The sequence below is a fragment of the Homo sapiens genome, chromosome 9 (genome assembly GCF_000001405.40).
Source record: "Homo sapiens chromosome 9, GRCh38.p14 Primary Assembly".
In the NCBI taxonomy this organism is placed as follows: Eukaryota; Metazoa; Chordata; class Mammalia; order Primates; family Hominidae; genus Homo; species Homo sapiens.
In genome coordinates this window covers 27,546,246-27,574,187 of record NC_000009.12, presented here as the reverse complement: position 1 = coordinate 27,574,187, position 27,942 = coordinate 27,546,246, and the positions used below count along the sequence as shown (strand labels likewise).

General features: G+C 35.8%; 1 protein-coding gene across 3 annotated transcripts, besides 5 other annotated features; it reads left to right on the top strand.

The window, feature by feature from the left end:
- Window positions 98-625: an enhancer, noted in NCBI's record as "OCT4-NANOG-H3K27ac-H3K4me1 hESC enhancer chr9:27573561-27574088 (GRCh37/hg19 assembly coordinates)". NCBI's record gives its function as "activates a minimal SCP1, AML or CMV promoter by ChIP-STARR-seq in naive H9 embryonic stem cells {active_cell/tissue: H9 hESC(naive)}" and the evidence as "EXISTENCE:reporter gene assay evidence [ECO:0000049][PMID:30033119]".
- On the top strand, window positions 322-27,642 carry C9orf72 (C9orf72-SMCR8 complex subunit). 3 transcript variants are annotated; one of them, NM_001256054.3, is made up of 11 exons: window positions 322-479; window positions 7,024-7,511; window positions 8,598-8,657; window positions 11,712-11,807; window positions 12,539-12,603; window positions 13,889-13,961; window positions 15,581-15,697; window positions 17,392-17,627; window positions 23,481-23,538; window positions 25,522-25,631; window positions 25,766-27,642. In NM_001256054.3, the coding sequence occupies exons 2-11, from the start codon at window positions 7,068-7,070 to the stop codon at window positions 25,950-25,952; spliced, it is 1,446 nt and encodes a 481-aa protein (NP_001242983.1). In that variant the 5' UTR covers window positions 322-479; window positions 7,024-7,067; the 3' UTR covers window positions 25,953-27,642. The 3 variants fall into 3 exon arrangements, with proteins under 3 accessions (NP_001242983.1, NP_659442.2, NP_060795.1); NM_018325.5 differs by lacking the exon at window positions 322-479 and adding an exon at window positions 707-757; NM_145005.7 differs by lacking the exons at window positions 13,889-13,961; window positions 15,581-15,697; window positions 17,392-17,627; ... (1 more) ...; window positions 25,522-25,631; window positions 25,766-27,642 and having other exon boundaries at window positions 322-401; window positions 12,539-13,764.
- Window positions 634-713: a silencer, noted in NCBI's record as "silent region_19822". NCBI's record gives its function as "represses an Ori minimal core promoter by ATAC-STARR-seq in GM12878 lymphoblastoid cells {active_cell/tissue: GM12878}" and the evidence as "EXISTENCE:reporter gene assay evidence [ECO:0000049][PMID:35858748]".
- Window positions 642-659: a repeat instability region, noted in NCBI's record as "repeat instability region; expansion of the (GGGGCC)n hexanucleotide repeat (GGCCCC relative to the plus strand of the reference genome) is associated with frontotemporal lobar degeneration with amyotrophic lateral sclerosis (ALS/FTLD)". NCBI's record gives the evidence for it as "EXISTENCE:polymerase chain reaction evidence [ECO:0000082][PMID:21944779, PMID:21944778]" and "EXISTENCE:Southern hybridization evidence [ECO:0000078][PMID:25476002, PMID:21944778]".
- Window positions 642-703: a tandem repeat, named in NCBI's record as "chromosome 9 open reading frame 72 repeat instability region".
- Window positions 1,224-1,313: an enhancer, noted in NCBI's record as "active region_28254". NCBI's record gives its function as "activates an Ori minimal core promoter by ATAC-STARR-seq in GM12878 lymphoblastoid cells {active_cell/tissue: GM12878}" and the evidence as "EXISTENCE:reporter gene assay evidence [ECO:0000049][PMID:35858748]".

Genomic DNA, 27,942 nt, shown 5'->3' with positions numbered 1-27,942 from the left:
CGCAGTGCCGGAGCTGTCCCCTACCAGGGTTTGCAGTGGAGTTTTGAATGCACTTAACAGTGTCTTACGGTAAAAACAAAATTTCATCCACCAATTATGTGTTGAGCGCCCACTGCCTACCAAGCACAAACAAAACCATTCAAAACCACGAAATCGTCTTCACTTTCTCCAGATCCAGCAGCCTCCCCTATTAAGGTTCGCACACGCTATTGCGCCAACGCTCCTCCAGAGCGGGTCTTAAGATAAAAGAACAGGACAAGTTGCCCCGCCCCATTTCGCTAGCCTCGTGAGAAAACGTCATCGCACATAGAAAACAGACAGACGTAACCTACGGTGTCCCGCTAGGAAAGAGAGGTGCGTCAAACAGCGACAAGTTCCGCCCACGTAAAAGATGACGCTTGGTGTGTCAGCCGTCCCTGCTGCCCGGTTGCTTCTCTTTTGGGGGCGGGGTCTAGCAAGAGCAGGTGTGGGTTTAGGAGGTGTGTGTTTTTGTTTTTCCCACCCTCTCTCCCCACTACTTGCTCTCACAGTACTCGCTGAGGGTGAACAAGAAAAGACCTGATAAAGATTAACCAGAAGAAAACAAGGAGGGAAACAACCGCAGCCTGTAGCAAGCTCTGGAACTCAGGAGTCGCGCGCTAGGGGCCGGGGCCGGGGCCGGGGCGTGGTCGGGGCGGGCCCGGGGGCGGGCCCGGGGCGGGGCTGCGGTTGCGGTGCCTGCGCCCGCGGCGGCGGAGGCGCAGGCGGTGGCGAGTGGGTGAGTGAGGAGGCGGCATCCTGGCGGGTGGCTGTTTGGGGTTCGGCTGCCGGGAAGAGGCGCGGGTAGAAGCGGGGGCTCTCCTCAGAGCTCGACGCATTTTTACTTTCCCTCTCATTTCTCTGACCGAAGCTGGGTGTCGGGCTTTCGCCTCTAGCGACTGGTGGAATTGCCTGCATCCGGGCCCCGGGCTTCCCGGCGGCGGCGGCGGCGGCGGCGGCGCAGGGACAAGGGATGGGGATCTGGCCTCTTCCTTGCTTTCCCGCCCTCAGTACCCGAGCTGTCTCCTTCCCGGGGACCCGCTGGGAGCGCTGCCGCTGCGGGCTCGAGAAAAGGGAGCCTCGGGTACTGAGAGGCCTCGCCTGGGGGAAGGCCGGAGGGTGGGCGGCGCGCGGCTTCTGCGGACCAAGTCGGGGTTCGCTAGGAACCCGAGACGGTCCCTGCCGGCGAGGAGATCATGCGGGATGAGATGGGGGTGTGGAGACGCCTGCACAATTTCAGCCCAAGCTTCTAGAGAGTGGTGATGACTTGCATATGAGGGCAGCAATGCAAGTCGGTGTGCTCCCCATTCTGTGGGACATGACCTGGTTGCTTCACAGCTCCGAGATGACACAGACTTGCTTAAAGGAAGTGACTATTGTGACTTGGGCATCACTTGACTGATGGTAATCAGTTGTCTAAAGAAGTGCACAGATTACATGTCCGTGTGCTCATTGGGTCTATCTGGCCGCGTTGAACACCACCAGGCTTTGTATTCAGAAACAGGAGGGAGGTCCTGCACTTTCCCAGGAGGGGTGGCCCTTTCAGATGCAATCGAGATTGTTAGGCTCTGGGAGAGTAGTTGCCTGGTTGTGGCAGTTGGTAAATTTCTATTCAAACAGTTGCCATGCACCAGTTGTTCACAACAAGGGTACGTAATCTGTCTGGCATTACTTCTACTTTTGTACAAAGGATCAAAAAAAAAAAAGATACTGTTAAGATATGATTTTTCTCAGACTTTGGGAAACTTTTAACATAATCTGTGAATATCACAGAAACAAGACTATCATATAGGGGATATTAATAACCTGGAGTCAGAATACTTGAAATACGGTGTCATTTGACACGGGCATTGTTGTCACCACCTCTGCCAAGGCCTGCCACTTTAGGAAAACCCTGAATCAGTTGGAAACTGCTACATGCTGATAGTACATCTGAAACAAGAACGAGAGTAATTACCACATTCCAGATTGTTCACTAAGCCAGCATTTACCTGCTCCAGGAAAAAATTACAAGCACCTTATGAAGTTGATAAAATATTTTGTTTGGCTATGTTGGCACTCCACAATTTGCTTTCAGAGAAACAAAGTAAACCAAGGAGGACTTCTGTTTTTCAAGTCTGCCCTCGGGTTCTATTCTACGTTAATTAGATAGTTCCCAGGAGGACTAGGTTAGCCTACCTATTGTCTGAGAAACTTGGAACTGTGAGAAATGGCCAGATAGTGATATGAACTTCACCTTCCAGTCTTCCCTGATGTTGAAGATTGAGAAAGTGTTGTGAACTTTCTGGTACTGTAAACAGTTCACTGTCCTTGAAGTGGTCCTGGGCAGCTCCTGTTGTGGAAAGTGGACGGTTTAGGATCCTGCTTCTCTTTGGGCTGGGAGAAAATAAACAGCATGGTTACAAGTATTGAGAGCCAGGTTGGAGAAGGTGGCTTACACCTGTAATGCCAGAGCTTTGGGAGGCGGAGGCAAGAGGATCACTTGAAGCCAGGAGTTCAAGCTCAACCTGGGCAACGTAGACCCTGTCTCTACAAAAAATTAAAAACTTAGCCGGGCGTGGTGATGTGCACCTGTAGTCCTAGCTACTTGGGAGGCTGAGGCAGGAGGGTCATTTGAGCCCAAGAGTTTGAAGTTACCGAGAGCTATGATCCTGCCAGTGCATTCCAGCCTGGATGACAAAACGAGACCCTGTCTCTAAAAAACAAGAAGTGAGGGCTTTATGATTGTAGAATTTTCACTACAATAGCAGTGGACCAACCACCTTTCTAAATACCAATCAGGGAAGAGATGGTTGATTTTTTAACAGACGTTTAAAGAAAAAGCAAAACCTCAAACTTAGCACTCTACTAACAGTTTTAGCAGATGTTAATTAATGTAATCATGTCTGCATGTATGGGATTATTTCCAGAAAGTGTATTGGGAAACCTCTCATGAACCCTGTGAGCAAGCCACCGTCTCACTCAATTTGAATCTTGGCTTCCCTCAAAAGACTGGCTAATGTTTGGTAACTCTCTGGAGTAGACAGCACTACATGTACGTAAGATAGGTACATAAACAACTATTGGTTTTGAGCTGATTTTTTTCAGCTGCATTTGCATGTATGGATTTTTCTCACCAAAGACGATGACTTCAAGTATTAGTAAAATAATTGTACAGCTCTCCTGATTATACTTCTCTGTGACATTTCATTTCCCAGGCTATTTCTTTTGGTAGGATTTAAAACTAAGCAATTCAGTATGATCTTTGTCCTTCATTTTCTTTCTTATTCTTTTTGTTTGTTTGTTTGTTTGTTTTTTTCTTGAGGCAGAGTCTCTCTCTGTCGCCCAGGCTGGAGTGCAGTGGCGCCATCTCAGCTCATTGCAACCTCTGCCACCTCCGGGTTCAAGAGATTCTCCTGCCTCAGCCTCCCGAGTAGCTGGGATTACAGGTGTCCACCACCACACCCGGCTAATTTTTTGTATTTTTAGTAGAGGTGGGGTTTCACCATGTTGGCCAGGCTGGTCTTGAGCTCCTGACCTCAGGTGATCCACCTGCCTCGGCCTACCAAAGAGCTGGGATAACAGGTGTGACCCACCATGCCCGGCCCATTTTTTTTTTCTTATTCTGTTAGGAGTGAGAGTGTAACTAGCAGTATAATAGTTCAATTTTCACAACGTGGTAAAAGTTTCCCTATAATTCAATCAGATTTTGCTCCAGGGTTCAGTTCTGTTTTAGGAAATACTTTTATTTTCAGTTTAATGATGAAATATTAGAGTTGTAATATTGCCTTTATGATTATCCACCTTTTTAACCTAAAAGAATGAAAGAAAAATATGTTTGCAATATAATTTTATGGTTGTATGTTAACTTAATTCATTATGTTGGCCTCCAGTTTGCTGTTGTTAGTTATGACAGCAGTAGTGTCATTACCATTTCAATTCAGATTACATTCCTATATTTGATCATTGTAAACTGACTGCTTACATTGTATTAAAAACAGTGGATATTTTAAAGAAGCTGTACGGCTTATATCTAGTGCTGTCTCTTAAGACTATTAAATTGATACAACATATTTAAAAGTAAATATTACCTAAATGAATTTTTGAAATTACAAATACACGTGTTAAAACTGTCGTTGTGTTCAACCATTTCTGTACATACTTAGAGTTAACTGTTTTGCCAGGCTCTGTATGCCTACTCATAATATGATAAAAGCACTCATCTAATGCTCTGTAAATAGAAGTCAGTGCTTTCCATCAGACTGAACTCTCTTGACAAGATGTGGATGAAATTCTTTAAGTAAAATTGTTTACTTTGTCATACATTTACAGATCAAATGTTAGCTCCCAAAGCAATCATATGGCAAAGATAGGTATATCATAGTTTGCCTATTAGCTGCTTTGTATTGCTATTATTATAAATAGACTTCACAGTTTTAGACTTGCTTAGGTGAAATTGCAATTCTTTTTACTTTCAGTCTTAGATAACAAGTCTTCAATTATAGTACAATCACACATTGCTTAGGAATGCATCATTAGGCGATTTTGTCATTATGCAAACATCATAGAGTGTACTTACACAAACCTAGATAGTATAGCCTTTATGTACCTAGGCCGTATGGTATAGTCTGTTGCTCCTAGGCCACAAACCTGTACAACTGTTACTGTACTGAATACTATAGACAGTTGTAACACAGTGGTAAATATTTATCTAAATATATGCAAACAGAGAAAAGGTACAGTAAAAGTATGGTATAAAAGATAATGGTATACCTGTGTAGGCCACTTACCACGAATGGAGCTTGCAGGACTAGAAGTTGCTCTGGGTGAGTCAGTGAGTGAGTGGTGAATTAATGTGAAGGCCTAGAACACTGTACACCACTGTAGACTATAAACACAGTACGCTGAAGCTACACCAAATTTATCTTAACAGTTTTTCTTCAATAAAAAATTATAACTTTTTAACTTTGTAAACTTTTTAATTTTTTAACTTTTAAAATACTTAGCTTGAAACACAAATACATTGTATAGCTATACAAAAATATTTTTTCTTTGTATCCTTATTCTAGAAGCTTTTTTCTATTTTCTATTTTAAATTTTTTTTTTTACTTGTTAGTCGTTTTTGTTAAAAACTAAAACACACACACTTTCACCTAGGCATAGACAGGATTAGGATCATCAGTATCACTCCCTTCCACCTCACTGCCTTCCACCTCCACATCTTGTCCCACTGGAAGGTTTTTAGGGGCAATAACACACATGTAGCTGTCACCTATGATAACAGTGCTTTCTGTTGAATACCTCCTGAAGGACTTGCCTGAGGCTGTTTTACATTTAACTTAAAAAAAAAAAAAGTAGAAGGAGTGCACTCTAAAATAACAATAAAAGGCATAGTATAGTGAATACATAAACCAGCAATGTAGTAGTTTATTATCAAGTGTTGTACACTGTAATAATTGTATGTGCTATACTTTAAATAACTTGCAAAATAGTACTAAGACCTTATGATGGTTACAGTGTCACTAAGGCAATAGCATATTTTCAGGTCCATTGTAATCTAATGGGACTACCATCATATATGCAGTCTACCATTGACTGAAACGTTACATGGCACATAACTGTATTTGCAAGAATGATTTGTTTTACATTAATATCACATAGGATGTACCTTTTTAGAGTGGTATGTTTATGTGGATTAAGATGTACAAGTTGAGCAAGGGGACCAAGAGCCCTGGGTTCTGTCTTGGATGTGAGCGTTTATGTTCTTCTCCTCATGTCTGTTTTCTCATTAAATTCAAAGGCTTGAACGGGCCCTATTTAGCCCTTCTGTTTTCTACGTGTTCTAAATAACTAAAGCTTTTAAATTCTAGCCATTTAGTGTAGAACTCTCTTTGCAGTGATGAAATGCTGTATTGGTTTCTTGGCTAGCATATTAAATATTTTTATCTTTGTCTTGATACTTCAATGTCGTTTTAAACATCAGGATCGGGCTTCAGTATTCTCATAACCAGAGAGTTCACTGAGGATACAGGACTGTTTGCCCATTTTTTGTTATGGCTCCAGACTTGTGGTATTTCCATGTCTTTTTTTTTTTTTTTTTTTTTGACCTTTTAGCGGCTTTAAAGTATTTCTGTTGTTAGGTGTTGTATTACTTTTCTAAGATTACTTAACAAAGCACCACAAACTGAGTGGCTTTAAACAACAGCAATTTATTCTCTCACAATTCTAGAAGCTAGAAGTCCGAAATCAAAGTGTTGACAGGGGCATGATCTTCAAGAGAGAAGACTCTTTCCTTGCCTCTTCCTGGCTTCTGGTGGTTACCAGCAATCCTGAGTGTTCCTTTCTTGCCTTGTAGTTTCAACAATCCAGTATCTGCCTTTTGTCTTCACATGGCTGTCTACCATTTGTCTCTGTGTCTCCAAATCTCTCTCCTTATAAACACAGCAGTTATTGGATTAGGCCCCACTCTAATCCAGTATGACCCCATTTTAACATGATTACACTTATTTCTAGATAAGGTCACATTCACGTACACCAAGGGTTAGGAATTGAACATATCTTTTTGGGGGACACAATTCAACCCACAAGTGTCAGTCTCTAGCTGAGCCTTTCCCTTCCTGTTTTTCTCCTTTTTAGTTGCTATGGGTTAGGGGCCAAATCTCCAGTCATACTAGAATTGCACATGGACTGGATATTTGGGAATACTGCGGGTCTATTCTATGAGCTTTAGTATGTAACATTTAATATCAGTGTAAAGAAGCCCTTTTTTAAGTTATTTCTTTGAATTTCTAAATGTATGCCCTGAATATAAGTAACAAGTTACCATGTCTTGTAAAATGATCATATCAACAAACATTTAATGTGCACCTACTGTGCTAGTTGAATGTCTTTATCCTGATAGGAGATAACAGGATTCCACATCTTTGACTTAAGAGGACAAACCAAATATGTCTAAATCATTTGGGGTTTTGATGGATATCTTTAAATTGCTGAACCTAATCATTGGTTTCATATGTCATTGTTTAGATATCTCCGGAGCATTTGGATAATGTGACAGTTGGAATGCAGTGATGTCGACTCTTTGCCCACCGCCATCTCCAGCTGTTGCCAAGACAGAGATTGCTTTAAGTGGCAAATCACCTTTATTAGCAGCTACTTTTGCTTACTGGGACAATATTCTTGGTCCTAGAGTAAGGCACATTTGGGCTCCAAAGACAGAACAGGTACTTCTCAGTGATGGAGAAATAACTTTTCTTGCCAACCACACTCTAAATGGAGAAATCCTTCGAAATGCAGAGAGTGGTGCTATAGATGTAAAGTTTTTTGTCTTGTCTGAAAAGGGAGTGATTATTGTTTCATTAATCTTTGATGGAAACTGGAATGGGGATCGCAGCACATATGGACTATCAATTATACTTCCACAGACAGAACTTAGTTTCTACCTCCCACTTCATAGAGTGTGTGTTGATAGATTAACACATATAATCCGGAAAGGAAGAATATGGATGCATAAGGTAAGTGATTTTTCAGCTTATTAATCATGTTAACCTATCTGTTGAAAGCTTATTTTCTGGTACATATAAATCTTATTTTTTTAATTATATGCAGTGAACATCAAACAATAAATGTTATTTATTTTGCATTTACCCTATTAGATACAAATACATCTGGTCTGATACCTGTCATCTTCATATTAACTGTGGAAGGTACGAAATGGTAGCTCCACATTATAGATGAAAAGCTAAAGCTTAGACAAATAAAGAAACTTTTAGACCCTGGATTCTTCTTGGGAGCCTTTGACTCTAATACCTTTTGTTTCCCTTTCATTGCACAATTCTGTCTTTTGCTTACTACTATGTGTAAGTATAACAGTTCAAAGTAATAGTTTCATAAGCTGTTGGTCATGTAGCCTTTGGTCTCTTTAACCTCTTTGCCAAGTTCCCAGGTTCATAAAATGAGGAGGTTGAATGGAATGGTTCCCAAGAGAATTCCTTTTAATCTTACAGAAATTATTGTTTTCCTAAATCCTGTAGTTGAATATATAATGCTATTTACATTTCAGTATAGTTTTGATGTATCTAAAGAACACATTGAATTCTCCTTCCTGTGTTCCAGTTTGATACTAACCTGAAAGTCCATTAAGCATTACCAGTTTTAAAAGGCTTTTGCCCAATAGTAAGGAAAAATAATATCTTTTAAAAGAATAATTTTTTACTATGTTTGCAGGCTTACTTCCTTTTTTCTCACATTATGAAACTCTTAAAATCAGGAGAATCTTTTAAACAACATCATAATGTTTAATTTGAAAAGTGCAAGTCATTCTTTTCCTTTTTGAAACTATGCAGATGTTACATTGACTGTTTTCTGTGAAGTTATCTTTTTTTCACTGCAGAATAAAGGTTGTTTTGATTTTATTTTGTATTGTTTATGAGAACATGCATTTGTTGGGTTAATTTCCTACCCCTGCCCCCATTTTTTCCCTAAAGTAGAAAGTATTTTTCTTGTGAACTAAATTACTACACAAGAACATGTCTATTGAAAAATAAGCAAGTATCAAAATGTTGTGGGTTGTTTTTTTAAATAAATTTTCTCTTGCTCAGGAAAGACAAGAAAATGTCCAGAAGATTATCTTAGAAGGCACAGAGAGAATGGAAGATCAGGTATATGCAAATTGCATACTGTCAAATGTTTTTCTCACAGCATGTATCTGTATAAGGTTGATGGCTACATTTGTCAAGGCCTTGGAGACATACGAATAAGCCTTTAATGGAGCTTTTATGGAGGTGTACAGAATAAACTGGAGGAAGATTTCCATATCTTAAACCCAAAGAGTTAAATCAGTAAACAAAGGAAAATAGTAATTGCATCTACAAATTAATATTTGCTCCCTTTTTTTTTCTGTTTGCCCAGAATAAATTTTGGATAACTTGTTCATAGTAAAAATAAAAAAAATTGTCTCTGATATGTTCTTTAAGGTACTACTTCTCGAACCTTTCCCTAGAAGTAGCTGTAACAGAAGGAGAGCATATGTACCCCTGAGGTATCTGTCTGGGGTGTAGGCCCAGGTCCACACAATATTTCTTCTAAGTCTTATGTTGTATCGTTAAGACTCATGCAATTTACATTTTATTCCATAACTATTTTAGTATTAAAATTTGTCAGTGATATTTCTTACCCTCTCCTCTAGGAAAATGTGCCATGTTTATCCCTTGGCTTTGAATGCCCCTCAGGAACAGACACTAAGAGTTTGAGAAGCATGGTTACAAGGGTGTGGCTTCCCCTGCGGAAACTAAGTACAGACTATTTCACTGTAAAGCAGAGAAGTTCTTTTGAAGGAGAATCTCCAGTGAAGAAAGAGTTCTTCACTTTTACTTCCATTTCCTCTTGTGGGTGACCCTCAATGCTCCTTGTAAAACTCCAATATTTTAAACATGGCTGTTTTGCCTTTCTTTGCTTCTTTTTAGCATGAATGAGACAGATGATACTTTAAAAAAGTAATTAAAAAAAAAAACTTGTGAAAATACATGGCCATAATACAGAACCCAATACAATGATCTCCTTTACCAAATTGTTATGTTTGTACTTTTGTAGATAGCTTTCCAATTCAGAGACAGTTATTCTGTGTAAAGGTCTGACTTAACAAGAAAAGATTTCCCTTTACCCAAAGAATCCCAGTCCTTATTTGCTGGTCAATAAGCAGGGTCCCCAGGAATGGGGTAACTTTCAGCACCCTCTAACCCACTAGTTATTAGTAGACTAATTAAGTAAACTTATCGCAAGTTGAGGAAACTTAGAACCAACTAAAATTCTGCTTTTACTGGGATTTTGTTTTTTCAAACCAGAAACCTTTACTTAAGTTGACTACTATTAATGAATTTTGGTCTCTCTTTTAAGTGCTCTTCTTAAAAATGTTATCTTACTGCTGAGAAGTTCAAGTTTGGGAAGTACAAGGAGGAATAGAAACTTAAGAGATTTTCTTTTAGAGCCTCTTCTGTATTTAGCCCTGTAGGATTTTTTTTTTTTTTTTTTTTTTTGGTGTTGTTGAGCTTCAGTGAGGCTATTCATTCACTTATACTGATAATGTCTGAGATACTGTGAATGAAATACTATGTATGCTTAAACCTAAGAGGAAATATTTTCCCAAAATTATTCTTCCCGAAAAGGAGGAGTTGCCTTTTGATTGAGTTCTTGCAAATCTCACAACGACTTTATTTTGAACAATACTGTTTGGGGATGATGCATTAGTTTGAAACAACTTCAGTTGTAGCTGTCATCTGATAAAATTGCTTCACAGGGAAGGAAATTTAACACGGATCTAGTCATTATTCTTGTTAGATTGAATGTGTGAATTGTAATTGTAAACAGGCATGATAATTATTACTTTAAAAACTAAAAACAGTGAATAGTTAGTTGTGGAGGTTACTAAAGGATGGTTTTTTTTTAAATAAAACTTTCAGCATTATGCAAATGGGCATATGGCTTAGGATAAAACTTCCAGAAGTAGCATCACATTTAAATTCTCAAGCAACTTAATAATATGGGGCTCTGAAAAACTGGTTAAGGTTACTCCAAAAATGGCCCTGGGTCTGACAAAGATTCTAACTTAAAGATGCTTATGAAGACTTTGAGTAAAATCATTTCATAAAATAAGTGAGGAAAAACAACTAGTATTAAATTCATCTTAAATAATGTATGATTTAAAAAATATGTTTAGCTAAAAATGCATAGTCATTTGACAATTTCATTTATATCTCAAAAAATTTACTTAACCAAGTTGGTCACAAAACTGATGAGACTGGTGGTGGTAGTGAATAAATGAGGGACCATCCATATTTGAGACACTTTACATTTGTGATGTGTTATACTGAATTTTCAGTTTGATTCTATAGACTACAAATTTCAAAATTACAATTTCAAGATGTAATAAGTAGTAATATCTTGAAATAGCTCTAAAGGGAATTTTTCTGTTTTATTGATTCTTAAAATATATGTGCTGATTTTGATTTGCATTTGGGTAGATTATACTTTTATGAGTATGGAGGTTAGGTATTGATTCAAGTTTTCCTTACCTATTTGGTAAGGATTTCAAAGTCTTTTTGTGCTTGGTTTTCCTCATTTTTAAATATGAAATATATTGATGACCTTTAACAAATTTTTTTTATCTCAAATTTTAAAGGAGATCTTTTCTAAAAGAGGCATGATGACTTAATCATTGCATGTAACAGTAAACGATAAACCAATGATTCCATACTCTCTAAAGAATAAAAGTGAGCTTTAGGGCCGGGCATGGTCAGAAATTTGACACCAACCTGGCCAACATGGCGAAACCCCGTCTCTACTAAAAATACAAAAATCAGCCGGGCATGGTGGCGGCACCTATAGTCCCAGCTACTTGGGAGGATGAGACAGGAGAGTCACTTGAACCTGGGAGGAGAGGTTGCAGTGAGCTGAGATCACGCCATTGCACTCCAGCCTGAGCAATGAAAGCAAAACTCCATCTCAAAAAAAAAAAAAGAAAAGAAAGAATAAAAGTGAGCTTTGGATTGCATATAAATCCTTTAGACATGTAGTAGACTTGTTTGATACTGTGTTTGAACAAATTACGAAGTATTTTCATCAAAGAATGTTATTGTTTGATGTTATTTTTATTTTTTATTGCCCAGCTTCTCTCATATTACGTGATTTTCTTCACTTCATGTCACTTTATTGTGCAGGGTCAGAGTATTATTCCAATGCTTACTGGAGAAGTGATTCCTGTAATGGAACTGCTTTCATCTATGAAATCACACAGTGTTCCTGAAGAAATAGATGTAAGTTTAAATGAGAGCAATTATACACTTTATGAGTTTTTTGGGGTTATAGTATTATTATGTATATTATTAATATTCTAATTTTAATAGTAAGGACTTTGTCATACATACTATTCACATACAGTATTAGCCACTTTAGCAAATAAGCACACACAAAATCCTGGATTTTATGGCAAAACAGAGGCATTTTTGATCAGTGATGACAAAATTAAATTCATTTTGTTTATTTCATTACTTTTATAATTCCTAAAAGTGGGAGGATCCCAGCTCTTATAGGAGCAATTAATATTTAATGTAGTGTCTTTTGAAACAAAACTGTGTGCCAAAGTAGTAACCATTAATGGAAGTTTACTTGTAGTCACAAATTTAGTTTCCTTAATCATTTGTTGAGGACGTTTTGAATCACACACTATGAGTGTTAAGAGATACCTTTAGGAAACTATTCTTGTTGTTTTCTGATTTTGTCATTTAGGTTAGTCTCCTGATTCTGACAGCTCAGAAGAGGAAGTTGTTCTTGTAAAAATTGTTTAACCTGCTTGACCAGCTTTCACATTTGTTCTTCTGAAGTTTATGGTAGTGCACAGAGATTGTTTTTTGGGGAGTCTTGATTCTCGGAAATGAAGGCAGTGTGTTATATTGAATCCAGACTTCCGAAAACTTGTATATTAAAAGTGTTATTTCAACACTATGTTACAGCCAGACTAATTTTTTTATTTTTTGATGCATTTTAGATAGCTGATACAGTACTCAATGATGATGATATTGGTGACAGCTGTCATGAAGGCTTTCTTCTCAAGTAAGAATTTTTCTTTTCATAAAAGCTGGATGAAGCAGATACCATCTTATGCTCACCTATGACAAGATTTGGAAGAAAGAAAATAACAGACTGTCTACTTAGATTGTTCTAGGGACATTACGTATTTGAACTGTTGCTTAAATTTGTGTTATTTTTCACTCATTATATTTCTATATATATTTGGTGTTATTCCATTTGCTATTTAAAGAAACCGAGTTTCCATCCCAGACAAGAAATCATGGCCCCTTGCTTGATTCTGGTTTCTTGTTTTACTTCTCATTAAAGCTAACAGAATCCTTTCATATTAAGTTGTACTGTAGATGAACTTAAGTTATTTAGGCGTAGAACAAAATTATTCATATTTATACTGATCTTTTTCCATCCAGCAGTGGAGTTTAGTACTTAAGAGTTTGTGCCCTTAAACCAGACTCCCTGGATTAATGCTGTGTACCCGTGGGCAAGGTGCCTGAATTCTCTATACACCTATTTCCTCATCTGTAAAATGGCAATAATAGTAATAGTACCTAATGTGTAGGGTTGTTATAAGCATTGAGTAAGATAAATAATATAAAGCACTTAGAACAGTGCCTGGAACATAAAAACACTTAATAATAGCTCATAGCTAACATTTCCTATTTACATTTCTTCTAGAAATAGCCAGTATTTGTTGAGTGCCTACATGTTAGTTCCTTTACTAGTTGCTTTACATGTATTATCTTATATTCTGTTTTAAAGTTTCTTCACAGTTACAGATTTTCATGAAATTTTACTTTTAATAAAAGAGAAGTAAAAGTATAAAGTATTCACTTTTATGTTCACAGTCTTTTCCTTTAGGCTCATGATGGAGTATCAGAGGCATGAGTGTGTTTAACCTAAGAGCCTTAATGGCTTGAATCAGAAGCACTTTAGTCCTGTATCTGTTCAGTGTCAGCCTTTCATACATCATTTTAAATCCCATTTGACTTTAAGTAAGTCACTTAATCTCTCTACATGTCAATTTCTTCAGCTATAAAATGATGGTATTTCAATAAATAAATACATTAATTAAATGATATTATACTGACTAATTGGGCTGTTTTAAGGCTCAATAAGAAAATTTCTGTGAAAGGTCTCTAGAAAATGTAGGTTCCTATACAAATAAAAGATAACATTGTGCTTATAGCTTCGGTGTTTATCATATAAAGCTATTCTGAGTTATTTGAAGAGCTCACCTACTTTTTTTTGTTTTTAGTTTGTTAAATTGTTTTATAGGCAATGTTTTTAATCTGTTTTCTTTAACTTACAGTGCCATCAGCTCACACTTGCAAACCTGTGGCTGTTCCGTTGTAGTAGGTAGCAGTGCAGAGAAAGTAAATAAGGTAGTTTATTTTATAATCTAGCAAATGATTTGACTCTTTAAGACTGATGATATATCATGGATTGTCATTTAAATGGTAGGTTGCAATTAAAATGATCTAGTAGTATAAGGAGGCAATGTAATCTCATCAAATTGCTAAGACACCTTGTGGCAACAGTGAGTTTGAAATAAACTGAGTAAGAATCATTTATCAGTTTATTTTGATAGCTCGGAAATACCAGTGTCAGTAGTGTATAAATGGTTTTGAGAATATATTAAAATCAGATATATAAAAAAAATTACTCTTCTATTTCCCAATGTTATCTTTAACAAATCTGAAGATAGTCATGTACTTTTGGTAGTAGTTCCAAAGAAATGTTATTTGTTTATTCATCTTGATTTCATTGTCTTCGCTTTCCTTCTAAATCTGTCCCTTCTAGGGAGCTATTGGGATTAAGTGGTCATTGATTATTATACTTTATTCAGTAATGTTTCTGACCCTTTCCTTCAGTGCTACTTGAGTTAATTAAGGATTAATGAACAGTTACATTTCCAAGCATTAGCTAATAAACTAAAGGATTTTGCACTTTTCTTCACTGACCATTAGTTAGAAAGAGTTCAGAGATAAGTATGTGTATCTTTCAATTTCAGCAAACCTAATTTTTTAAAAAAAGTTTTACATAGGAAATATGTTGGAAATGATACTTTACAAAGATATTCATAATTTTTTTTTGTAATCAGCTACTTTGTATATTTACATGAGCCTTAATTTATATTTCTCATATAACCATTTATGAGAGCTTAGTATACCTGTGTCATTATATTGCATCTACGAACTAGTGACCTTATTCCTTCTGTTACCTCAAACAGGTGGCTTTCCATCTGTGATCTCCAAAGCCTTAGGTTGCACAGAGTGACTGCCGAGCTGCTTTATGAAGGGAGAAAGGCTCCATAGTTGGAGTGTTTTTTTTTTTTTTTTTAAACATTTTTCCCATCCTCCATCCTCTTGAGGGAGAATAGCTTACCTTTTATCTTGTTTTAATTTGAGAAAGAAGTTGCCACCACTCTAGGTTGAAAACCACTCCTTTAACATAATAACTGTGGATATGGTTTGAATTTCAAGATAGTTACATGCCTTTTTATTTTTCCTAATAGAGCTGTAGGTCAAATATTATTAGAATCAGATTTCTAAATCCCACCCAATGACCTGCTTATTTTAAATCAAATTCAATAATTAATTCTCTTCTTTTTGGAGGATCTGGACATTCTTTGATATTTCTTACAACGAATTTCATGTGTAGACCCACTAAACAGAAGCTATAAAAGTTGCATGGTCAAATAAGTCTGAGAAAGTCTGCAGATGATATAATTCACCTGAAGAGTCACAGTATGTAGCCAAATGTTAAAGGTTTTGAGATGCCATACAGTAAATTTACCAAGCATTTTCTAAATTTATTTGACCACAGAATCCCTATTTTAAGCAACAACTGTTACATCCCATGGATTCCAGGTGACTAAAGAATACTTATTTCTTAGGATATGTTTTATTGATAATAACAATTAAAATTTCAGATATCTTTCATAAGCAAATCAGTGGTCTTTTTACTTCATGTTTTAATGCTAAAATATTTTCTTTTATAGATAGTCAGAACATTATGCCTTTTTCTGACTCCAGCAGAGAGAAAATGCTCCAGGTTATGTGAAGCAGAATCATCATTTAAATATGAGTCAGGGCTCTTTGTACAAGGCCTGCTAAAGGTATAGTTTCTAGTTATCACAAGTGAAACCACTTTTCTAAAATCATTTTTGAGACTCTTTATAGACAAATCTTAAATATTAGCATTTAATGTATCTCATATTGACATGCCCAGAGACTGACTTCCTTTACACAGTTCTGCACATAGACTATATGTCTTATGGATTTATAGTTAGTATCATCAGTGAAACACCATAGAATACCCTTTGTGTTCCAGGTGGGTCCCTGTTCCTACATGTCTAGCCTCAGGACTTTTTTTTTTTTAACACATGCTTAAATCAGGTTGCACATCAAAAATAAGATCATTTCTTTTTAACTAAATAGATTTGAATTTTATTGAAAAAAAATTTTAAACATCTTTAAGAAGCTTATAGGATTTAAGCAATTCCTATGTATGTGTACTAAAATATATATATTTCTATATATAATATATATTAGAAAAAAATTGTATTTTTCTTTTATTTGAGTCTACTGTCAAGGAGCAAAACAGAGAAATGTAAATTAGCAATTATTTATAATACTTAAAGGGAAGAAAGTTGTTCACCTTGTTGAATCTATTATTGTTATTTCAATTATAGTCCCAAGACGTGAAGAAATAGCTTTCCTAATGGTTATGTGATTGTCTCATAGTGACTACTTTCTTGAGGATGTAGCCACGGCAAAATGAAATAAAAAAATTTAAAAATTGTTGCAAATACAAGTTATATTAGGCTTTTGTGCATTTTCAATAATGTGCTGCTATGAACTCAGAATGATAGTATTTAAATATAGAAACTAGTTAAAGGAAACGTAGTTTCTATTTGAGTTATACATATCTGTAAATTAGAACTTCTCCTGTTAAAGGCATAATAAAGTGCTTAATACTTTTGTTTCCTCAGCACCCTCTCATTTAATTATATAATTTTAGTTCTGAAAGGGACCTATACCAGATGCCTAGAGGAAATTTCAAAACTATGATCTAATGAAAAAATATTTAATAGTTCTCCATGCAAATACAAATCATATAGTTTTCCAGAAAATACCTTTGACATTATACAAAGATGATTATCACAGCATTATAATAGTAAAAAAATGGAAATAGCCTCTTTCTTCTGTTCTGTTCATAGCACAGTGCCTCATACGCAGTAGGTTATTATTACATGGTAACTGGCTACCCCAACTGATTAGGAAAGAAGTAAATTTGTTTTATAAAAATACATACTCATTGAGGTGCATAGAATAATTAAGAAATTAAAAGACACTTGTAATTTTGAATCCAGTGAATACCCACTGTTAATATTTGGTATATCTCTTTCTAGTCTTTTTTTCCCTTTTGCATGTATTTTCTTTAAGACTCCCACCCCCACTGGATCATCTCTGCATGTTCTAATCTGCTTTTTTCACAGCAGATTCTAAGCCTCTTTGAATATCAACACAAACTTCAACAACTTCATCTATAGATGCCAAATAATAAATTCATTTTTATTTACTTAACCACTTCCTTTGGATGCTTAGGTCATTCTGATGTTTTGCTATTGAAACCAATGCTATACTGAACACTTCTGTCACTAAAACTTTGCACACACTCATGAATAGCTTCTTAGGATAAATTTTTAGAGATGGATTTGCTAAATCAGAGACCATTTTTTAAAATTAAAAAACAATTATTCATATCGTTTGGCATGTAAGACAGTAAATTTTCCTTTTATTTTGACAGGATTCAACTGGAAGCTTTGTGCTGCCTTTCCGGCAAGTCATGTATGCTCCATATCCCACCACACACATAGATGTGGATGTCAATACTGTGAAGCAGATGCCACCCTGTCATGAACATATTTATAATCAGCGTAGATACATGAGATCCGAGCTGACAGCCTTCTGGAGAGCCACTTCAGAAGAAGACATGGCTCAGGATACGATCATCTACACTGACGAAAGCTTTACTCCTGATTTGTACGTAATGCTCTGCCTGCTGGTACTGTAGTCAAGCAATATGAAATTGTGTCTTTTACGAATAAAAACAAAACAGAAGTTGCATTTAAAAAGAAAGAAATATTACCAGCAGAATTATGCTTGAAGAAACATTTAATCAAGCATTTTTTTCTTAAATGTTCTTCTTTTTCCATACAATTGTGTTTACCCTAAAATAGGTAAGATTAACCCTTAAAGTAAATATTTAACTATTTGTTTAATAAATATATATTGAGCTCCTAGGCACTGTTCTAGGTACCGGGCTTAATAGTGGCCAACCAGACAGCCCCAGCCCCAGCCCCTACATTGTGTATAGTCTATTATGTAACAGTTATTGAATGGACTTATTAACAAAACCAAAGAAGTAATTCTAAGTCTTTTTTTTCTTGACATATGAATATAAAATACAGCAAAACTGTTAAAATATATTAATGGAACATTTTTTTACTTTGCATTTTATATTGTTATTCACTTCTTATTTTTTTTTAAAAAAAAAAGCCTGAACAGTAAATTCAAAAGGAAAAGTAATGATAATTAATTGTTGAGCATGGACCCAACTTGAAAAAAAAAATGATGATGATAAATCTATAATCCTAAAACCCTAAGTAAACACTTAAAAGATGTTCTGAAATCAGGAAAAGAATTATAGTATACTTTTGTGTTTCTCTTTTATCAGTTGAAAAAAGGCACAGTAGCTCATGCCTGTAAGAACAGAGCTTTGGGAGTGCAAGGCAGGCGGATCACTTGAGGCCAGGAGTTCCAGACCAGCCTGGGCAACATAGTGAAACCCCATCTCTACAAAAAATAAAAAAGAATTATTGGAATGTGTTTCTGTGTGCCTGTAATCCTAGCTATTCCGAAAGCTGAGGCAGGAGGATCTTTTGAGCCCAGGAGTTTGAGGTTACAGGGAGTTATGATGTGCCAGTGTACTCCAGCCTGGGGAACACCGAGACTCTGTCTTATTTAAAAAAAAAAAAAAAAAAATGCTTGCAATAATGCCTGGCACATAGAAGGTAACAGTAAGTGTTAACTGTAATAACCCAGGTCTAAGTGTGTAAGGCAATAGAAAAATTGGGGCAAATAAGCCTGACCTATGTATCTACAGAATCAGTTTGAGCTTAGGTAACAGACCTGTGGAGCACCAGTAATTACACAGTAAGTGTTAACCAAAAGCATAGAATAGGAATATCTTGTTCAAGGGACCCCCAGCCTTATACATCTCAAGGTGCAGAAAGATGACTTAATATAGGACCCATTTTTTCCTAGTTCTCCAGAGTTTTTATTGGTTCTTGAGAAAGTAGTAGGGGAATGTTTTAGAAAATGAATTGGTCCAACTGAAATTACATGTCAGTAAGTTTTTATATATTGGTAAATTTTAGTAGACATGTAGAAGTTTTCTAATTAATCTGTGCCTTGAAACATTTTCTTTTTTCCTAAAGTGCTTAGTATTTTTTCCGTTTTTTGATTGGTTACTTGGGAGCTTTTTTGAGGAAATTTAGTGAACTGCAGAATGGGTTTGCAACCATTTGGTATTTTTGTTTTGTTTTTTAGAGGATGTATGTGTATTTTAACATTTCTTAATCATTTTTAGCCAGCTATGTTTGTTTTGCTGATTTGACAAACTACAGTTAGACAGCTATTCTCATTTTGCTGATCATGACAAAATAATATCCTGAATTTTTAAATTTTGCATCCAGCTCTAAATTTTCTAAACATAAAATTGTCCAAAAAATAGTATTTTCAGCCACTAGATTGTGTGTTAAGTCTATTGTCACAGAGTCATTTTACTTTTAAGTATATGTTTTTACATGTTAATTATGTTTGTTATTTTTAATTTTAACTTTTTAAAATAATTCCAGTCACTGCCAATACATGAAAAATTGGTCACTGGAATTTTTTTTTTGACTTTTATTTTAGGTTCATGTGTACATGTGCAGGTGTGTTATACAGGTAAATTGCGTGTCATGAGGGTTTGGTGTACAGGTGATTTCATTACCCAGGTAATAAGCATAGTACCCAATAGGTAGTTTTTTGATCCTCACCCTTCTCCCACCCTCAAGTAGGCCCTGGTGTTGCTGTTTCCTTCTTTGTGTCCATGTATACTCAGTGTTTAGCTCCCACTTAGAAGTGAGAACATGCGGTAGTTGGTTTTCTGTTCCTGGATTAGTTCACTTAGGATAATGACCTCTAGCTCCATCTGGTTTTTATGGCTGCATAGTATTCCATGGTGTATATGTATCACATTTTCTTTATCCAGTCTACCATTGATAGGCATTTAGGTTGATTCCCTGTCTTTGTTATCATGAATAGTGCTGTGATGAACATACACATGCATGTGTCTTTATGGTAGAAAAATTTGTATTCCTTTAGGTACATATAGAATAATGGGGTTGCTAGGGTGAATGGTAGTTCTATTTTCAGTTATTTGAGAAATCTTCAAACTGCTTTTCATAATAGCTAAACTAATTTACAGTCCCGCCAGCAGTGTATAAGTGTTCCCTTTTCTCCACAACCTTGCCAACATCTGTGATTTTTTGACTTTTTAATAATAGCCATTCCTAGAGAATTGATTTGCAATTCTCTATTAGTGATATTAAGCATTTTTTCATATGCTTTTTAGCTGTCTGTATATATTCTTCTGAAAAATTTTCATGTCCTTTGCCCAGTTTGTAGTGGGGTGGGTTGTTTTTTGCTTGTTAATTAGTTTTAAGTTCCTTCCAGATTCTGCATATCCCTTTGTTGGATACATGGTTTGCAGATATTTTTCTCCCATTGTGTAGGTTGTCTTTTACTCTGTTGATAGTTTCTTTTGCCATGCAGGAGCTCGTTAGGTCCCATTTGTGTTTGTTTTTGTTGCAGTTGCTTTTGGCGTCTTCATCATAAAATCTGTGCCAGGGCCTATGTCCAGAATGGTATTTCCTAGGTTGTCTTCCAGGGTTTTTACAATTTTAGATTTTACGTTTATGTCTTTAATCCATCTTGAGTTGATTTTTGTATATGGCACAAGGAAGGGGTCCAGTTTCACTCCAATTCCTATGGCTAGCAATTATCCCAGCACCATTTATTGAATACGGAGTCCTTTCCCCATTGCTTGTTTTTTGTCAACTTTGTTGAAGATCAGATGGTTGTAAGTGTGTGGCTTTATTTCTTGGCTCTCTATTCTCCATTGGTCTATGTGTCTGTTTTTATAACAGTACCCTGCTGTTCAGGTTCCTATAGCCTTTTAGTATAAAATCGGCTAATGTGATGCCTCCAGCTTTGTTCTTTTTGCTTAGGATTGCTTTGGCTATTTGGGCTCCTTTTTGGGTCCATATTAATTTTAAAACAGTTTTTTCTGGTTTTGTGAAGGATATCATTGGTAGTTTATAGGAATAGCATTGAATCTGTAGATTGCTTTGGGCAGTATGGCCATTTTAACAATATTAATTCTTCCTATCTATGAATATGGAATGTTTTTCCATGTGTTTGTGTCATCTCTTTATACCTGATGTATAAAGAAAAGCTGGTATTATTCCTACTCAATCTGTTCCAAAAAATTGAGGAGGAGGAACTCTTCCCTAATGAGGCCAGCATCATTCTGATACCAAAACCTGGCAGAGACACAACAGAAAAAAGAAAACTTCAGGCCAATATCCTTGATGAATATAGATGCAAAAATCCTCAACAAAATACTAGCAAACCAAATCCAGCAGCACATCAAAAAGCTGATCTACTTTGATCAAGTAGGCTTTATCCCTGGGATGCAAGGTTGGTTCAACATACACAAATCAATAAGTGTGATTCATCACATAAACAGAGCTAAAAACAAAAACCACAAGATTATCTCAATAGGTAGAGAAAAGGTTGTCAATAAAATTTAACATCCTCCATGTTAAAAACCTTCAGTAGGTCAGGTGTAGTGACTCACACCTGTAATCCCAGCACTTTGGGAGGCCAAGGCGGGCATATCTCTTAAGCCCAGGAGTTCAAGACGAGCCTAGGCAGCATGGTGAAACCCCATCTCTACAAAAAAAAAAAAAAAAAAAAATTAGCTTGGTATGGTGACATGCACCTATAGTCCCAGCTATTCAGGAGGTTGAGGTGGGAGGATTGTTTGAGCCCGGGAGGCAGAGGTTGGCAGCGAGCTGAGATCATGCCACCGCACTCCAGCCTGGGCAACGGAGTGAGACCCTGTCTCAAAAAAGAAAAATCACAAACAATCCTAAACAAACTAGGCATTGAAGGAACATGCCTCAAAAAAATAAGAACCATCTATGACAGACCCATAGCCAATATCTTACCAAATGGGCAAAAGCTGGAAGTATTCTCCTTGAGAACCGTAACAAGACAAGGATGTCCACTCTCACCACTCCTTTTCAGCATAGTTCTGGAAGTCCTAGCCAGAGCAATCAGGAAAGAGAAAGAAAGAAAGACATTCAGATAGGAAGAGAAGAAGTCAAACTATTTCTGTTTGCAGGCAGTATAATTCTGTACCTAGAAAATCTCATAGTCTCTGCCCAGAAACTCCTAAATCTGTTAAAAATTTCAGCAAAGTTTTGGCATTCTCTATACTCCAACACCTTCCAAAGTGAGAGCAAAATCAAGAACACAGTCCCATTCACAATAGCCGCAAAACGAATAAAATACCTAGGAATCCAGCTAACCAGGGAGGTGAAAGATCTCTATGAGAATTACAAAACACTGCTGAAAGAAATCAGAGATGACACAAACAAATGGAAATGTTCTTTTTTAACACCTTGCTTTATCTAATTCACTTATGATGAAGATACTCATTCAGTGGAACAGGTATAATAAGTCCACTCGATTAAATATAAGCCTTATTCTCTTTCCAGAGCCCAAGAAGGGGCACTATCAGTGCCCAGTCAATAATGACGAAATGCTAATATTTTTCCCCTTTACGGTTTCTTTCTTCTGTAGTGTGGTACACTCGTTTCTTAAGATAAGGAAACTTGAACTACCTTCCTGTTTGCTTCTACACATACCCATTCTCTTTTTTTGCCACTCTGGTCAGGTATAGGATGATCCCTACCACTTTCAGTTAAAAACTCCTCCTCTTACTAAATGTTCTCTTACCCTCTGGCCTGAGTAGAACCTAGGGAAAATGGAAGAGAAAAAGATGAAAGGGAGGTGGGGCCTGGGAAGGGAATAAGTAGTCCTGTTTGTTTGTGTGTTTGCTTTAGCACCTGCTATATCCTAGGTGCTGTGTTAGGCACACATTATTTTAAGTGGCCATTATATTACTACTACTCACTCTGGTCGTTGCCAAGGTAGGTAGTACTTTCTTGGATAGTTGGTTCATGTTACTTACAGATGGTGGGCTTGTTGAGGCAAACCCAGTGGATAATCATCGGAGTGTGTTCTCTAATCTCACTCAAATTTTTCTTCACATTTTTTGGTTTGTTTTGGTTTTTGATGGTAGTGGCTTATTTTTGTTGCTGGTTTGTTTTTTGTTTTTTTTTGAGATGGCAAGAATTGGTAGTTTTATTTATTAATTGCCTAAGGGTCTCTACTTTTTTTAAAAGATGAGAGTAGTAAAATAGATTGATAGATACATACATACCCTTACTGGGGACTGCTTATATTCTTTAGAGAAAAAATTACATATTAGCCTGACAAACACCAGTAAAATGTAAATATATCCTTGAGTAAATAAATGAATGTATATTTTGTGTCTCCAAATATATATATCTATATTCTTACAAATGTGTTTATATGTAATATCAATTTATAAGAACTTAAAATGTTGGCTCAAGTGAGGGATTGTGGAAGGTAGCATTATATGGCCATTTCAACATTTGAACTTTTTTCTTTTCTTCATTTTCTTCTTTTCTTCAGGAATATTTTTCAAGATGTCTTACACAGAGACACTCTAGTGAAAGCCTTCCTGGATCAGGTAAATGTTGAACTTGAGATTGTCAGAGTGAATGATATGACATGTTTTCTTTTTTAATATATCCTACAATGCCTGTTCTATATATTTATATTCCCCTGGATCATGCCCCAGAGTTCTGCTCAGCAATTGCAGTTAAGTTAGTTACACTACAGTTCTCAGAAGAGTCTGTGAGGGCATGTCAAGTGCATCATTACATTGGTTGCCTCTTGTCCTAGATTTATGCTTCGGGAATTCAGACCTTTGTTTACAATATAATAAATATTATTGCTATCTTTTAAAGATATAATAATAAGATATAAAGTTGACCACAACTACTGTTTTTTGAAACATAGAATTCCTGGTTTACATGTATCAAAGTGAAATCTGACTTAGCTTTTACAGATATAATATATACATATATATATCCTGCAATGCTTGTACTATATATGTAGTACAAGTATATATATATGTTTGTGTGTGTATATATATATAGTACGAGCATATATACATATTACCAGCATTGTAGGATATATATATGTTTATATATTAAAAAAAAGTTATAAACTTAAAACCCTATTATGTTATGTAGAGTATATGTTATATATGATATGTAAAATATATAACATATACTCTATGATAGAGTGTAATATATTTTTTATATATATTTTAACATTTATAAAATGATAGAATTAAGAATTGAGTCCTAATCTGTTTTATTAGGTGCTTTTTGTAGTGTCTGGTCTTTCTAAAGTGTCTAAATGATTTTTCCTTTTGACTTATTAATGGGGAAGAGCCTGTATATTAACAATTAAGAGTGCAGCATTCCATACGTCAAACAACAAACATTTTAATTCAAGCATTAACCTATAACAAGTAAGTTTTTTTTTTTTTTTTGAGAAAGGGAGGTTGTTTATTTGCCTGAAATGACTCAAAAATATTTTTGAAACATAGTGTACTTATTTAAATAACATCTTTATTGTTTCATTCTTTTAAAAAATATCTACTTAATTACACAGTTGAAGGAAATCGTAGATTATATGGAACTTATTTCTTAATATATTACAGTTTGTTATAATAACATTCTGGGGATCAGGCCAGGAAACTGTGTCATAGATAAAGCTTTGAAATAATGAGATCCTTATGTTTACTAGAAATTTTGGATTGAGATCTATGAGGTCTGTGACATATTGCGAAGTTCAAGGAAAATTCGTAGGCCTGGAATTTCATGCTTCTCAAGCTGACATAAAATCCCTCCCACTCTCCACCTCATCATATGCACACATTCTACTCCTACCCACCCACTCCACCCCCTGCAAAAGTACAGGTATATGAATGTCTCAAAACCATAGGCTCATCTTCTAGGAGCTTCAATGTTATTTGAAGATTTGGGCAGAAAAAATTAAGTAATACGAAATAACTTATGTATGAGTTTTAAAAGTGAAGTAAACATGGATGTATTCTGAAGTAGAATGCAAAATTTGAATGCATTTTTAAAGATAAATTAGAAAACTTCTAAAAACTGTCAGATTGTCTGGGCCTGGTGGCTTATGCCTGTAATCCCAGCACTTTGGGAGTCCGAGGTGGGTGGATCACAAGGTCAGGAGATCGAGACCATCCTGCCAACATGGTGAAACCCCGTCTCTACTAAGTATACAAAAATTAGCTGGGCGTGGCAGCGTGTGCCTGTAATCCCAGCTACCTGGGAGGCTGAGGCAGGAGAATCGCTTGAACCCAGGAGGTGTAGGTTGCAGTGAGTCAAGATCGCGCCACTGCACTTTAGCCTGGTGACAGAGCTAGACTCCGTCTCAAAAAAAAAAAAAAATATCAGATTGTTCCTACACCTAGTGCTTCTATACCACACTCCTGTTAGGGGGCATCAGTGGAAATGGTTAAGGAGATGTTTAGTGTGTATTGTCTGCCAAGCACTGTCAACACTGTCATAGAAACTTCTGTACGAGTAGAATGTGAGCAAATTATGTGTTGAAATGGTTCCTCTCCCTGCAGGTCTTTCAGCTGAAACCTGGCTTATCTCTCAGAAGTACTTTCCTTGCACAGTTTCTACTTGTCCTTCACAGAAAAGCCTTGACACTAATAAAATATATAGAAGACGATACGTGAGTAAAACTCCTACACGGAAGAAAAACCTTTGTACATTGTTTTTTTGTTTTGTTTCCTTTGTACATTTTCTATATCATAATTTTTGCGCTTCTTTTTTTTTTTTTTTTTTTTTTTTTTCCATTATTTTTAGGCAGAAGGGAAAAAAGCCCTTTAAATCTCTTCGGAACCTGAAGATAGACCTTGATTTAACAGCAGAGGGCGATCTTAACATAATAATGGCTCTGGCTGAGAAAATTAAACCAGGCCTACACTCTTTTATCTTTGGAAGACCTTTCTACACTAGTGTGCAAGAACGAGATGTTCTAATGACTTTTTAAATGTGTAACTTAATAAGCCTATTCCATCACAATCATGATCGCTGGTAAAGTAGCTCAGTGGTGTGGGGAAACGTTCCCCTGGATCATACTCCAGAATTCTGCTCTCAGCAATTGCAGTTAAGTAAGTTACACTACAGTTCTCACAAGAGCCTGTGAGGGGATGTCAGGTGCATCATTACATTGGGTGTCTCTTTTCCTAGATTTATGCTTTTGGGATACAGACCTATGTTTACAATATAATAAATATTATTGCTATCTTTTAAAGATATAATAATAGGATGTAAACTTGACCACAACTACTGTTTTTTTGAAATACATGATTCATGGTTTACATGTGTCAAGGTGAAATCTGAGTTGGCTTTTACAGATAGTTGACTTTCTATCTTTTGGCATTCTTTGGTGTGTAGAATTACTGTAATACTTCTGCAATCAACTGAAAACTAGAGCCTTTAAATGATTTCAATTCCACAGAAAGAAAGTGAGCTTGAACATAGGATGAGCTTTAGAAAGAAAATTGATCAAGCAGATGTTTAATTGGAATTGATTATTAGATCCTACTTTGTGGATTTAGTCCCTGGGATTCAGTCTGTAGAAATGTCTAATAGTTCTCTATAGTCCTTGTTCCTGGTGAACCACAGTTAGGGTGTTTTGTTTATTTTATTGTTCTTGCTATTGTTGATATTCTATGTAGTTGAGCTCTGTAAAAGGAAATTGTATTTTATGTTTTAGTAATTGTTGCCAACTTTTTAAATTAATTTTCATTATTTTTGAGCCAAATTGAAATGTGCACCTCCTGTGCCTTTTTTCTCCTTAGAAAATCTAATTACTTGGAACAAGTTCAGATTTCACTGGTCAGTCATTTTCATCTTGTTTTCTTCTTGCTAAGTCTTACCATGTACCTGCTTTGGCAATCATTGCAACTCTGAGATTATAAAATGCCTTAGAGAATATACTAACTAATAAGATCTTTTTTTCAGAAACAGAAAATAGTTCCTTGAGTACTTCCTTCTTGCATTTCTGCCTATGTTTTTGAAGTTGTTGCTGTTTGCCTGCAATAGGCTATAAGGAATAGCAGGAGAAATTTTACTGAAGTGCTGTTTTCCTAGGTGCTACTTTGGCAGAGCTAAGTTATCTTTTGTTTTCTTAATGCGTTTGGACCATTTTGCTGGCTATAAAATAACTGATTAATATAATTCTAACACAATGTTGACATTGTAGTTACACAAACACAAATAAATATTTTATTTAAAATTCTGGAAGTAATATAAAAGGGAAAATATATTTATAAGAAAGGGATAAAGGTAATAGAGCCCTTCTGCCCCCCACCCACCAAATTTACACAACAAAATGACATGTTCGAATGTGAAAGGTCATAATAGCTTTCCCATCATGAATCAGAAAGATGTGGACAGCTTGATGTTTTAGACAACCACTGAACTAGATGACTGTTGTACTGTAGCTCAGTCATTTAAAAAATATATAAATACTACCTTGTAGTGTCCCATACTGTGTTTTTTACATGGTAGATTCTTATTTAAGTGCTAACTGGTTATTTTCTTTGGCTGGTTTATTGTACTGTTATACAGAATGTAAGTTGTACAGTGAAATAAGTTATTAAAGCATGTGTAAACATTGTTATATATCTTTTCTCCTAAATGGAGAATTTTGAATAAAATATATTTGAAATTTTGCCTCTTTCAGTTGTTCATTCAGAAAAAAATACTATGATATTTGAAGACTGATCAGCTTCTGTTCAGCTGACAGTCATGCTGGATCTAAACTTTTTTTAAAATTAATTTTGTCTTTTCAAAGAAAAAATATTTAAAGAAGCTTTATAATATAATCTTATGTTAAAAAAACTTTCTGCTTAACTCTCTGGATTTCATTTTGATTTTTCAAATTATATATTAATATTTCAAATGTAAAATACTATTTAGATAAATTGTTTTTAAACATTCTTATTATTATAATATTAATATAACCTAAACTG